Consider the following 15611-nt stretch of genomic DNA (forward strand, 5'->3'; position numbering starts at 1 on the left):
TAAACCAGTATCTTCTGTAACAGGTGAAATGAGCAAATTTCCTTAAAGACAAAGTTTAATGTTTATGATTTGGATGACTCGATGTGGTTAATGTCTATTCTCTTCAACTGATATATAGATTCAACCCAATCCCAACCAAAATGACAGAGGGTTTTAATTTTTTAAATTAAAAAATTAATAATTTGGATAATATAATATAATCTGGACAATATAATAATCTGGATAATATAGTAATCTGGATAGCTGCATAGTTTTGAAAAAGAACAAAATGATAGGTCTCATGTTATCAAGCTAATATGATACAGGCAAAGGGACAGAGACACAGTTTGATAAAATGAAGTAGAAAGCCCAGAAATAGATCACACAAATGCACTCAGCTGATACTTGACAAAGCTGCAAAAGCACTTCAATGGTAAAAATACAGACTTCAACAACTATTGCTGGAACAATTAAACACTCATATTTAAAAATTGTCATTATTTTAATGCATAGATAACATGGTGCCACACTGGGGAAATCAAACATATCAGCTAAGCATAAGTAAAAGTAAAATTCATGGAAATATCCTAACATCCTACCTCCCATCACTTTTAACATTTTGATATATATTTCTCCAGATTTCCCGCAGGAAATATTGATTTATGGATGCATTTCTGTGTCTATAGATTTATCTGTGGGTATATGCATCTGTCTATTTATGGGTCTATATTTCTACCCATTCATCCACCCATTCTTTTCCCATTCATCCATCTATCATCCACCTAAGTATCTGTTAAAAGGAAAACTTTAGTGGAATTAAATGTAAGAGTTTAATTGAACAGAGTACAACTTGTGAATTGGGTGGCCTCCTGAGCCAGATTAGCCTCAGAGACTTCAGCACAGCATGTGGTGGAAGATTTATGGACAGAAAAACAAAAGTGATGTACAGAAAACGAAAGTGAGGCACAGAAACAACTGGATTGTTTGCAGCTTGGCTTTTGCCTCATTTGAAAAGAGCTTGAACAGCTGGCCACCTTTGATTGGCCAAAACTTGGTGACTGGCACAAGAATAGGCTACAGTCTGTTTACACCTCCATTTAGGTTACAGTTCACTATGTACAGAGAAATCTTTAGGCTGAACTTAAAATAGGTAAGGAGACAGCTTTAGGCTAAAGTTTATTGAATACGTCTATACACATTTTTATTGTATATTTACTATATAAAAATATTTCCAATATAGAAAGAATGTATCTCATTCCCTAAGAGTATCTCTTATTAACAGCAATATTTCTTTTCTTTTCTTTTCTTTTTTCTTTTCCTTTTCTTTTTAAGAGGGAGTCTCACTTTGTCACCCAGGCTGGAGTGCAATTGTGCGATCTTGGCTCACTGCAATCTCAGCCTCCAGGGTTCAAGCGATTCTCCTGCCTCAGCCTCCCGAAAAGCTGTGATTACAGGCATGCACCACCATGTCCGCTGATTTTTTTTCTTTTTTTTTTTGTATTTTTAGTAGAGACAGGGTTTCACCATGTTGGCCAGGCTTGTCTGGAACTCCTGACCTCAAGTGATCCACCTGCCTCGGCCTCCCAAAGTCCTGGGATTACAGGCCTGAGCCACCACACATGGCCCAGTGATACTTCTTTTTTAGAGTTTATATTATATTTTGAAAAACAGGTAGGTATACTTATATGCATGTATATCAAGTTGCAAGGCTGTAATATGTATATATTGAAAGTATATGTAATTTTATTTTTATATTTATAAAAGTGAAATGGCACTTCCCCTTTTTATTTTTCTCTAAGTTCTGACAATGGGTTGATCCCAATTTTCCTAAATGGTTTTTGCCTACTTGAAATCTATAGCATTAATTGATGATATTGCTTCTTTTTCCCTTAGAGCATGTGGTTTCACAGTGATTTTTGTGTGCTTTTTTTTTTTTCCGCACAAGAATTGCTTCTTCAGCTACATTGTAAGATTTTTGAGGACAGATAATTTTTATAGCCTAACAATTAGTAAAATACTTAGGAAAAATAATTGTAGGCTTTCAAGAATATTTATTTATTTTTGTTTATTTATTTATTTATTTTGAGAAATAAGTCTTGCTCTGTCACCCAGGCTGGAGTGCAGTGGCACAATCTCTGCTCACTGCAACCACCACCTCTCGGTTCAACTGTTTCTCCTCCCTCAGCCTCCTGAGTGGCTGGGATTACAGGCGCCCACCATGATGCTGGCTACTATTTTGTATTTTTAGTAGAGATGGGGTTTCACCATGTTGGCCAGGCTGGTCTCGAACTCCTGACCTCAGGGGATCCGCCTGCCTCGGCCTCCCAAAATGTTGGGATTACAGGTGTGAGCCACTGTACCCGGCCAAGAATATTTATTAATGGAAGTAAAAAAAAAAATTTTACATTTGGACTCATAAGAGTGTAAATACATTTTTCACAATTTAGTCATGAAGTCAGTGTGAACTAGAGGTGTGTTAAATGATAGGGTAGTTGGTGAATGGATGTATGACTGCTTGGGCTATCTTCCTGCTGTTTGTCCAGATTTCCAAATATACTTGCTTCAAATAAACTGAATGTTAGCTGGAGAAAATGGAAAATGTTTGCAAAAGTTTATACAGAGTTTAAGCACATAACATCAAGTCAACCAAAGTCAGTCATTTAACCTTTAGGAAATTTTTCCTTGTTCATCGGGTTAGCTTTTCCCAGCAAAGAGAATGTTTTACAAGAAATTATTTACCTTATCCCACAGAAAAATGAAATTAAGCAAACTCTGGAAGGAGACTGAAATAATGTGTATTTGTATTTTGGGGACATGCAGGGCGGTAGAATAAAATTCAGACAGTGCCTTCCTATTCTCTTCACTGCTTATTCCATTTCCACCTCTACAAAAACACGGTTTGTTTGTTTGTTTGTTTTGAGACACAGTCTCACTCTGTCACCCAGGCTGGAGTGCAGTGGCGCGATCTCGGCTCAGTGCAACCTCTGCCTCCCGGGTTCAAGCAAATCTCCTGCCTCAGCCTCCCTAGTAGCTGGGACTACAGGCGCCCACAACCACGCCTGGCTAATTTTTGTATTTTTAAGAAGAGACAGGGTTTCACCATGTTGGTCAGGCTGGTCTCAAACTCCTGACCTCGTGATCCGCCCGCCTCGGCCTCCCAAAGTGCTGGGATTACAGGTGTCAGCCACCGCACCTGGCCATGATTCTTTTTTAATGACACATGCATAATATGCTTACCATGAAAATTGTGTATAGTCCTTCCAATAAGGCTGTTGGGTATGGGTAAACTGCAAATTCAAGAGAAACTGGAAAGAAAAATGATTATAACATATTTATTGTAGGTGGCAAATTGTCCCATTTCAGTGGAGAGATCTCACTCCCCTACAGGGTTATTTAAATACAACCTCAAATTATAAAGATCCTTCAATTAATTATATTAATGTTCTATTCCTTAAAAACTGCCTGTTTGGAAACAGCAAAAAACCTCAAAAAAACAAACAAAAAACAATGAAAGAAAAAAATCATTTTGCGCTATTTGGGAGACTTAATATATTTTATTTTATCATCTCTATCTCTCATAATGATGTTATTTTTTGCAAACTAAACTAAAGAAACAGCCTGTAACACAAACAACTGTTTTAGTAGGAACATTTAATTGCCCTTCATTTTAGCAAATGTATTTTCAACAGTCTTGTGATTCAAAGATACAATTAGAATGTTTATCTTTATTTTTTTTTTCTTTTGGAAAAAGGTCATACTTCTGGCAGAGAGGAACTGTAATGACTTTTCTTTTTTTTTTCCTTCTGTATCTGTAGTATGTTTCATCTCCTACTGACATCTAATTGCAAATAAAATTCTCTTTGGGATGCATTACAGGCCAGAAAATTGGTTGGAATATGGATCTTCACTGGGATTTTGCTACATTAAAGAATAACCAATACTTTGTGTCTACATAAAAACACCTTCGGTATGAAAAATCTCATTGTAAAACACCACTTAAGAAAACAATACATGTTGTGGAAGGAATTTATGCAAGATGGTTAAGATGCTAATCTTTTAGCATCTCATTATTTTATTAATTTCTCATCTATGGTTTCTTTCATGAGATTTTTTTTTTCAAAGTAAAAAATGCAACAAATAAAAATGAGTTCCTACCTATATACTTACAGATTAAAAAGCTTCAGAAAAGAAGTAACATTCATACCACACAAAATAAATTTCTACACACAAATTGCATATAAATTGAAGAAGAAAACCAAAAATAATTTTTGGGAAGTTACTTCTAAACTACTTTTTACATTAGCAGCTGTTAGAAAAAAATCCTGATTGACTTTAAAGAAAACTACAAAGATTTTTTACAAAGAGAAAGGATTATAATAACCTCAGATTTTTGCAAAGGCATCAAGTCCAAGAATGTGAATTTATATCATGTTAAATCATTAAGCCAGTGGCTGAGAGGTTAAAGATATTTTTAGAAATACAAGGAAAAGATTTAACCTTTAACAGAATTTTTCAATAAAATAAGGTGAGTAATTAAAGAAAAAGAATGACAAGGGAAGCAGAACATATATATATATATATATATGTCATATCAAGCAATGCAGTATTTCAGATGGACAGATGAAGAAAGGAGCTTCAGAAGACAGGTTTTCAGAAGACAGTATTTAACTGAATATCAGGTAAACTGGAACATTTGGAGCAAAACAAACTTAACCTTATAAGTAGGTTGTAGCTAGTTCCATTTCAACAAAGGGGTAATGTTATGCTACTTAATAAATTGAGAACAAAGAAAAGAGCTAATATTACCATTTTGATTATATTGTACAATAAATCTGAAAAAAGTGAATACAATGTGTAAGTTTTAAAGGAAGAAACAAAATTATCATTCACATATGATATTATTGCCTATGTGAATATATAGCAGAATCATTTGGTAAAATTTTAGAATTAAGAAAAGAGCTTAAGAAGGTTGCTAGAAATATGATTAATATAAATATTAATTGCATTTCTATACAGCGTAACAAAGTATTAGAAGAAAATATTTTAGAAGTTTTTTATTTCATAAACCATATATTTGTGTGTAATTTGCAGTAGCAAATGTATGTTTGTTAAAATAAGTAGTCTTTCAAAATGTACATTATATGTAGTCAAACATAGGCTATATATGATGTATTATGTATTAGATATGTCATTTCATGTGTCATATTATATACAAGTGTCATATATATCCACAAAAAGATGGACAAGACTTATTTTGGTAAAATTTTAATAAATATCTTATTAAGATTAAGTATATTGACCTAAATAATGAAGAAATATGCCATATTCACAAGTATATTTTTAATATATCAATTCTTTACAAATTGAAAGAAGAGTCTATGCAACATTCACCCAGCTCTCAAATTTGAGTGGAGTCATTGTTGAACTTGTAAACTGATGTTTAAATGTATACAGAAGAACAACCATGAAGAAGCCAGGCACCTTTGAAGGGGGTAGACATCAAGAGTTATTTTAGCACAGGAATTAAAAAAAAAAAAAGAAAAAAAGACTAATGCAATAGAATGGAGAACTCACACTTAGATCTACACACATATGTAAGCAAATAAAAAATAATTGATAATTTAATAAATGGGACTGCAGCAATCAGTTTCTATTAAGGGAAGAATATGTAATTGAATTCTTACATTATAAAATGTTTCTAAATGGATGAAAAATTGAAGTATCAAAACCAAATTTAAAAACATTTGGAGAAAACACAGGTGAATATCTATTATGTGTCAGTAGGAAAGGATTTCTTAAACAGAACAAAAAAGTCCACGTTAAAAGAAATAAATGATAAATTTGATTCCATTAAAATTGAAGATACCTATTAAGCACAATAAATGATAAAGAACTTTTAAAAATTCACCTAAGGATATTTACTTAACATGTAAGTGATAAATAATTCGTATCTATAATATAAAGTATGCAATAATGAAGAATATAACATATATAATCTTAATATATAAATAAATTTATATATTCTATTCCCTCTATTTTCTCTTACAAAATATTGTTCATTGTTTTGAGACACTATTATCCACCTACTGCAATATCAAATTTGATGGTATTTTGGAAATCTCCATCACGCATTTTAGGATGCACCAATATAATATACCTTCTGTTACAGATCTCCAAAATCTTGCTATTTAATAGAAGCCTTGCCCAGAAGCCAGTTTCAGGCATTATGCACCTCTAACAAAGTAATTTCACTTAGATTCTGATCGCATGAACATAATAACTTCAAGACAATCAAGACAAGGTGCTGATCTTCTGTGGATGCCTCCCTGGGAGGTGAGTATTCTGAAGACTAAAGCCCACACTGGTGAAACTGATTTTGGTATGAGGTGAGGCAGGGCACACAGTGGATTCAGATCTTTAAAAGCAGACAGTGCAGAACTGGTATGACTTCAGTTTGGTAGAATTAGCTATCTAAATAAAATATTAATCTGAGTATATCTTTAAGGCAAGAAAAATTACATCACAATTGCATAAACTACACAGATCATTCCTCTGACTGGTTTGTCTGTTCGTTGTTTTGGTTTGTTTGGAATCAAGGATTCACTTTGACTGACAGTAAACTAAAAGGATAACCAGAATACTACCCCAAAAGTATCCTGAATGGGAAACAGGAATGTCCAGTAGAATTAATAATAAAAAACACCTATCATTATGAATTAGGCTCTCTGGATTCTCATTTCTCCACTAGTTACCTGTGATATTGGGAGGTCATTTGGGCAGCATTTAATTCGTAAATGAATGTCCATTGATCTTCCAAAAGTATTCTGAATTTTTATTTTTTATCGAATATAGCAAAATTTTGAAAAGAGACTGCAGCAAGATAAGAACCAAGCAGAAAGATGCAAACAGGAGGATACCGTAAAAACCTAGTTGAAAATGAGGGTAGAGATCAGGGCAAAGGCAACAGAGATAGTAAGAAATGGTCAGATTCAAGAGATTTTGGTCACAGTAGAGTTTTGTTGGAGTGAATGTGGCATACGAAAAGAAAGAGGAGTTTAAGGTAGCTTCAAATTATGGCCTGAGCACCTGGAAGGGATGGTGTTCTCATCAACTGAGGGGCAGCCTAGAGCAAGAGTGCTTGACAAGATCTGACTGTCTGCGTTAGAATCTTGGCTCTGAAATTGACTGGGATTTTGGACAAGTTAGTTAATTTTTGTGTATCTTGTTTCCCTTCTCTGTGAAAAGGAGTTGATTATATTATTACTGTATAAAGTTGTTTAATCCATAAATGAGAGAATTTATGTAAAGGATTTAGAACAGTGAGTGGTTCATAGTAAGCACTCAATAAACGATATTCTCTATGATTCTCCTGAAACTAGCCTGAGAACAAAGACCCTGCACAAGATCCCCTTGTAAACAAGGAGGCAGTGCTACCGTCAGAGAAGATGTCACAATCCATATGTTAAAGATCACTAAATTTTAGTAAAATCAAGCTGTTGACGTTTACTTCCTGCTTAATCAAATAGTTTGCTCAACCAACCTAGTAATTGGCTGCCATGAAATTTGCCTCCAAATGGACTGTGACTAATTGAAACAAAAATGGATGGTTCAGTAGCAAAGCTTAGTCTTAATCAGCGTGTCTAGTAGGATAACTCTGAGTTTTTATCCATGTGTTTGAAAACAAATTAAGTTGGAATGTTGTCAAGTCAGACAGAACTGGTTTCCATTTATGCTTCCATGCTTACTGACTGTATGACCTTCAGTTTCCTCAATTACAAATGAGGGTAACAGTGTAAATAATGTCATGGGATTATTTGGGGGATTAAATAAGACTGTAAACCCACTTAGCATAGTTCTATGGCTATCGTAGTTGTTCAGTAAATATTAATCGTTCTGATAGTGATGGTAAGAATTCTGATGCTGATAATTGAAAGCACGGTGAATAGTCATTCATGAACTGATAATCAAGAAAATTACAAGAAAGTCATTTTTATAACGTCTACTATTTACCTCTAGCAGCTTTTAAAAGTCTAATAAATGAAGCAAATTATCCATGAGTGTTTAATAGTGGAATGAGGTGCCACAACTCTCACATGGATAAAATATATTAGGTTTTTATTTGCTCCCCAAACAACATGCCTCCACTTTCCTTCCCTATTCTCTTTCCAAAAAGAATAACATATTCAGGTTTATGTGTATGTTAGCATCCTTTAGGACTCTTTAATCTCTTTTTGAAGCACTGTAGAAAGTAATGAGATCCCCAAAGAAAGCCTGAAGGGCCTCTAAATAACCAGAAAGGAATAGCTAATCTCTTACAGTCAAGCCTTGTAAAAAAGCAATTTGTTCATTAATGATAGAAATAAAGCATCTTCACTTGAGAATTAATCCTCATCTTCCATAAAACAAAATCACCTTCTGTATACATGTGAAGAGAAACAGACAGGACTGGAGTCAGTGGGGGTAAATCTTGCATAATACACTAGCCTTAATAGTGCTGCTAAAAAAAGAAAAAAGAAAAAAGAAAGACTGAAAATCTCATTAGCACCTTATCTCATGGAGCACTCAAAGGTAATCAGCAAAGGAGGGGGGTCTTGCAATGCAATTAGTGGCTGTTAAATTTAGAGAAAATTAGAGGGGCTATTCTCTACCCAGTTCCTAGTCAACGTTGAGTCACTGGGCTGAATTTTTTAAGGGCTGGTTCATTAAGAAACAATCACAGCAGGTGTAGTTTTCCATGTTAAGACAAGAGTCAGCATTCTTTATGCCTTCAGTCAACCCAGTGGGACATTAAGGCATGCTTCCCAGCACAGCACATTTATTTGAAATTTTTGTTTACCTCTGAACACCTGCAGGACTAGGTTCCTGACATATTAAATATGTGTATCACACTTTGTACTTGAATTATACTTTACACTTTTCTCACTTTAGATGCTGTATTTTTGCCACACATTACACTTATGAAGTGACATATAATCATTTCCTTGGGCTATTACTTACAGCACTCTAGTGGATGTATGTGAGTGCAGTATTACCTATTTTAAAGATGGAAACACTCACCTATCTGTCTGTCGATCTATCACCCATCTATGAGTTGATAAGTATCTTTTCAAAATTAAGTAGAACAATTTTATTTTCAAGACTCATTTGCTAAACCTATTGTATAAAGTTTTCTGAACTTACAAGGAGGCAAAGTTGTAAAATAAAGAAGATAATATATTAGGTGTGATTCCCTAAAAGCCTTTCATCTTTTTTCATTATCTCCCAGTCTCTTTATTTTAAGATACTATATATAAAGAAATTACTCACTCCCTCCCATTTTTGTCCTGAAATGTGGAGTCATGTAAACTAATTGCTTCAATCTGAAGACAAAACCTCAGTGATCTAAAACCTTGTATGTCTCTGGAATCATACAAGTCAAAATGTAACTACATATGTGTAAATGATTTGTAAACTGTAAATGAGAAACATAATTTTACATTTCATCTGTGGAGATTATTATTTATGACTAGCTATTTGGTTCCTAGAACAAAGTACAGCAGCTTTCCAGGTGTTTATTGGAAAGAAGTAAGGAGGTTCTTGGGAAGAGGCATAGACTATTTCAGATAATTAGCATAATTTGTTAAAACCATATTTGTTAATTCCGAGGATTAAAGCATGGGCTGGAAAAATACAATCGCAGTAACATCACAGTGACATCTGTACTAGTGAAGTTACAGAAAAAGGACTTTCTAGACTGAAGAGAACTAAGTTATACTGGGTCTTATAAAGTTTATAAAAATAACGCCCACTCAAAAAAAAAAGGAAATTGACCCTATAAAAAAATTACAAAACTTCTATAATTGATTAGATAGCTGCATAACAGTTGCAACTTTATATTATAAAAAAGTAATCACCTATGTTTTGAAGATTTAGGAGACACATATTGAATACATTTTCAAAGAACACAAACAAAACTAAAAATTCTTATAATAATGAGAAATAGACCCCGAAGATTTCTAGAGTAGCATGACATAAAGTGCTGTTAAATGGCAAACTGTCATTCCCAAAGGATTATCAAATATATGCTTCTGAGGCAACTGACTTTCCCATGTGGGGATAACAAAGGTAAGCTGGGGATAAAACATGGATGATAATGGAGTTAAGTCATCCCTTATACCATAGTAATATTTTAAAAAGCATTAAAACAAAAATATATCAATATTACAAGAAAATATCCACAGCTTGAAGTCTGTGCTCACAGGACATCTGAAACTCTAATAGATAACCTATGATCCTTCTGATTTGAGGAAAAGATGACAGACAGAATTGAAAGACACAATAGCCACTGGAGGGTAGGAGGAAGTAATGGCAGGGAAAGGCTAGAGATAGGGAACTCCAAATTCTGCATAGAAGTGTGCTCAAATCTATGGCTGGGCATGATTTCAGAATGTGCACTGAATGAATTCAAGGCAGCACAGGAAAAGACCAAACAACTTAACAAAAATTTGAGCTTATACCAAAAGAGAGAATTTGGAGTTTATTGCTGCATATGGTGTTAAGTAAAAATCTAATTTATTGTTTCTTTAATGACCATCCAGTTGCTTTCTGACCATGTACTAAAAATATTATGTTTACTTTTTTGACATGATATGCCACATAGATTATGTACTCTATGTACATCTATTTCTAGGGTTTCTATTCTATTCACTCGTAACCTGGCCACTTATGCTCTAGTTTTAATTATGAGACTTTACTGAATGGTTTGAAGGCTGATAAAGGGCTGTTGTCCTTTGGATTATTTCTCTTTCTCAGTGGTTTCCTTGTTCTTTTTGCAGATTTTTTTCCATATAAACTATGGTATCAGCATGTTTAGTTCCAAAGTAACAGGTTTGTTGGCATTTTTATTATGAAAGAAAGTGCTATATTAACTTAGGAAGAACTAACATTTTGAAGGTGTTGAGTCATGCTTGTTAGGATCAAGGGATGTCTATTCATTTGTTCAAATCTAACATTGTGTTGATCAGGAGTACTTTAAATTTTTCCTTATAAACACTTTGGACATTTCCTATTAACTTTATCCTTAAGTATTTGATTATCTTTGTTATTATAAATGGGGTTTTCTCTACCATTATGTCCAAAAACTAGTTATTGTTTATTACAAAAATGTATTGATTTCTATACATTATTTTTGTATCATGCTATATTCATTACTTATTTTGTTGGTTGAGTTAGTTCTAGCATTGTTTCCCTGTGGTTTTTCAGGTGTACTTGTACATCATCTGCAAGTATCTTTTTTCTTCTTCATTAACAATCATGACTCTAATTGTGGTCTCTTATTTAGTTCCACTGACTCATACCTCTAATAACTATGGAAATATTGGGCATCCCTTTCTCATTCCTTGTTTTAGAAGTACCTCTAGTTTCTTTTACTTTTGTTTCTGATGAAGTATAATGTTGGCTTTAGGACTAAGCATGTATATTGCATTGTGTTAAGAAAGCAGCCACGAATTCCTATATTCTTGAGTGCTTTTTTCCAGAATGAGAGTTATATTTTGCTAAAAGTATTTTCAGCATCTATGTAGATAGTTACAACTCGTTCCTTTAAAAAAATCTACTGAAACAATGTATCATAATAATGGATTTCCTGATAGCATACCAACTTTAAACCTTTAGAATAAATCCCACTTTCTCATAGTGTGTTATTAGTTTAATATAGTGGTGGATTTTGTTAATATTTTATTTAGTACATTTGCATCGATATTCAAAAATGAGATAAATCTATTGTTTTCTTTTTAATATTAGCCTTTTCAGATTTAGATAATAAGGTTATACTTGCTTCAAAAAATAAAATAGTAAAATTTTCTTTATTTTCAAAGCTCTGAAGTAATTTCAGGCTTATTGGGACATAGAAGATTGGAAAAACTTCTCTGTGAAACATCTGGGATTCATTTCATGTTAGGTTTCTCCAAAGATAAGAAACCAACAAGGTATGTGTGTGTGTTTTTATATATGAGTATAAATATATAAATAAATAGATGTATTTATATGTTTATAATGCATATAATATACATATAGAGTATATGTATACTTTACATACATATATAATTTTTATATGTACAGAAAGAGAGAAAAAGATAAAGGAAAAATTTATTACTTTAAATAATTGGCTTACACTAGCACGGAGATTGTCAAGTCTAAACATCTGCAGGGTAGACCAGCAGTCTGAATACCCAGGGAAGAGTTGATGTTGCAGTTCATCTGAATGACACCTGCCAGCAGAGTTCTCTCTTCCCAAGGGAGCTCAGTTTCTTTTCTGCTAAGGTGTTCAACTGATTGGATGAGATCTCCTCAATTTAGAAATGGGTCATCTGCTTTACTCCAAGTCTACTGTTTTAAATGTTAATCTTATCTAAAAAAACACATTCACAGAAATATATACCATAATGTATGACTAAATATCTGGATACCATGGTCTACCCAAGTTGATACACAAAATTAGGCATCACAGATTCTTTTTATAGAGTAGTTCCTTGGTTACTTGGAAATTGTGAGGTTCAAATACTCTATCTGTAGTTATGTCAATCTACATTTTAAAATGCAATTGTATAGAGGTTTGCAAAGTTTATTTTTTATTATAATTTGAACTTTTATTTTAGATTTGGGGGTACATGTGTAGGTTTGATATTGCGTGATGCTGAGGTTTTGGATGCGAATGATCCTATGACCAACTTAGTGAGTGCAGTACCCAACAGCTAGTTTTTCAAACTTTGGCCATCTCCCCAGTTAGTCGCCAATGTTTATTGATGCCATATTTATGTCTATAAATACCAGATATTGAGCCACCACTTATAAGTGAGAACACTTGGTATTTGGTTTTCTATTCTTGCATTAATTTGATTAAGATTATGGCCTCTAGCTGCATCCATGTTGCTGCTAAGGACATAATTTTATTCTTTTTTATGGCTGTGTAGTATTCTATCGTGTATATGTACCACATTTTCTTTACCCAATGCACTGTTGATGGCACCCTAGGTTGAATACATGTCTTTGCTATTGTGAATAGTGCTGCAATGAACACACACATGTATGTGTCTTTTTGGTACAGCAGTTTATTTTCTTTTGGATATATATGCAGTAATGGATTCACTGGGTTGAATCGTAGTTCTGTTTCAAGTTCTTTGAGAAATCTCCAAACTGCTTTCCACAGTGGATAAACTAATTTACATTCTCACCAGCAGTGTATGAGCGTTCCCTTTTTCCTGCAGTCTCGCCAGCATCTGTTGTTTTCAGAATTTTTAATAATAGCCATTCTGACTGGTGTGTGAGATGCTATCTCATTGTGGTGCTGATTTGCATTTCTCTAATGATTAGTGATGTTGAGCATTTTTTTTTATGTTTGTAGGCTGTTTGTATATTCTCTTTTGAGAAGTGTCTGTTCATGCCTTTTGCCTGCTTTTTAATATAGGTATTTGGTTTTTGTTTGTTGAATTAAGATTCTTGTAGATTCTCAATATTAGAGTGAAGAATCTGTAAGAAATTAGATATCGAATCTGTATCTTGCTTTGGGCAGTAGGGCCATTTTAATTATACTGATTCTTCCAATTCATGAGCATGTAATGTTTTTCTGTTTTTCCATGTGTCAACTATGATTTCTTTTAGCAGAGTTTTGTAGTTCTCCTTGCAGAGGTATTCAACTTCCTTGATTAGATGTATTCCTAGGTATTTCTTGGGCTACTTTAAATGGAACTGTGTTTTTGATTTGGCTCTCAGCTTTAACGGTGTTAACATATAGAAATTTTACTGATTTTTGTACATTGATTTTGTATCCTGAAACTTTACTGAAACTTTACTGAAGTCACTTGTCAGTTCCAGGAGGCTTCTGGTGGCATCTTTCTTGGCACAGAATGATAAAATCAGTGAAGAGAGATAGTTTGACTTCTTTTCTTTTTGGATGCCTTTTATTTCTTTCTCTTGCCTGATTGCTCTGGTAAGGGCCTCCAGTACTTTGCTGAACAGAAGCAGTAATAGGGGGTATCCTTGTCTTGTTCCAGTTCTCAAATGCAGCAAAAGCAGTATTAAGTAAAAGTTTATAGTGCTAAATGCCTACCTGAAAAAGTTAGAAACATCTCAAATTAACAACCTAACATCGCACCTAGAGGAACTAGTAAAACAAGGATGAACTAACCCCAAAACTAGCAGAAGAAAATAAATAACTAAAACCAGAGGGGAACTCTATAAATCTGAGACTAAAAACATTCATACAAAGAATCAACAAAACTAAAAGTTGGTTCTTTGAAAGGATAAATAAGTATCAATTAAACTACTCCCTACATTAACAAAGGAAAAAAGAGAGAAGATACAAGTAAGCACAATCAGAAAAGACAAAGGTGACATTATAACTAATCCCACAGAAATACAAAAGATTCTCAGAGACTATTATTATGGACACATCTATACACACAAACTAGAAAATGTAGAGGAAACAGAAGATAGATTCCTGGGAACACACAACCTCCTGAGATTGAAGCAGGAAGACACTGGGACCCTGAACAGACGAATCTTGAGTTCCAAAATTGAATCAGTAATAAAAAGAAAAGCCCCAGACCTGCTGGATTCACCAAATTCTACCAGAAGTGCAATGAGTAGCTAGTACCAATTCTACTGAAACTACAAAAAATTGAGGAGGTGGGTTCCTCCCTAGCTAATTTTACGAAGCCAGCATTGGCCTGAAACCAAAACCTGGCAAAGACACAACAGAGACAACAGCAGGGCAGTATCCCTAAGAAACACACGCACACAAATCCTCAATAAAATACCACCCAACCAAATTCAGCAGCATATAAAAAAGTTAATTCATCACAATCAATAGACTTCATTCCTAGGAGGTAAAGTTGGTTCAACATATGCAAATCAATAAATGGGATTCACGACATTAACAAAATTTACAGCAAAATCCATATGACTATCTCAATAGACATGGGAAGAACTCTTGATAAAATCCAGCATCCCTCATGATAAAAACATTCAACAAACTAGGCATTGAAGGAACATATCTCAAAGTAATAAGAGCATTCTGTGACAAACCCATAACCATCATCATATTGAACCAGCAAAAGCTAGAAGCATTTTCCTTGAGAACTGGAGCAAGAAAAAGATGCCCACTTTCACCACTCCTATGAAACATAGTACTGGAAGTCCTAGCCAGAGTAATCAGGCAAGAGAAAGAAATAAAAGGAATCCAAATAGGCAAAGAAGAAGTCAAATTATCTCTCTTTGCTGATAATATGATTTTATATCTAGAAAACCCTAAAGACTCAACAAGCGAGGCATCGAAGGATCATGCCACAAAGTAATAAGAGCCATCTATGACAAACCCACTGCCAACATTATGCTGAATGAACAAAAGCTGGAAGCGTTCCCTTGTTTGTTCTTCATAACGTATTTTAACTTCTATGTATGGCTTACTCAACAGTGGGCTTTTTCTATGTTCCTCCTTCCCTCTTTCTTTCCCCCATATTTTAGCTGCATCATATTTACATTGACTCACCATGTACTATTTATACATTAATTTTCCTCCATCATCTACCCTTTAATTTATCTTTAGGGCTATAATTACATATGTCCAAGTGTGCATCATAAATTCTTTTGCTTAA

At 33.9% G+C, this 15611-nt stretch overlaps 1 long non-coding RNA gene across 5 annotated transcripts in view; it reads right to left on the reverse strand.

Annotated features, from left to right (window-relative positions):
- Window positions 1-15611, reverse strand: part of LINC02663 (long intergenic non-protein coding RNA 2663) — a 434814-nt gene that overhangs the window by 110305 nt on the left and 308898 nt on the right. The window contains exon 6 of one of the 5 annotated variants that reach the window (XR_930644.2): window positions 3217-3284. The exons of the other annotated variants lie outside the window; for them this stretch is intronic. This is a non-coding gene — a long non-coding RNA (long intergenic non-protein coding RNA 2663). The remainder of the gene's footprint in view (window positions 1-3216; window positions 3285-15611) is intronic. 5 annotated transcript variants of the gene reach the window in all.

This window comes from Homo sapiens, chromosome 10 (genome assembly GCF_000001405.40).
Source record: "Homo sapiens chromosome 10, GRCh38.p14 Primary Assembly".
Lineage (NCBI taxonomy): Eukaryota > Metazoa > Chordata > Mammalia > Primates > Hominidae > Homo > Homo sapiens.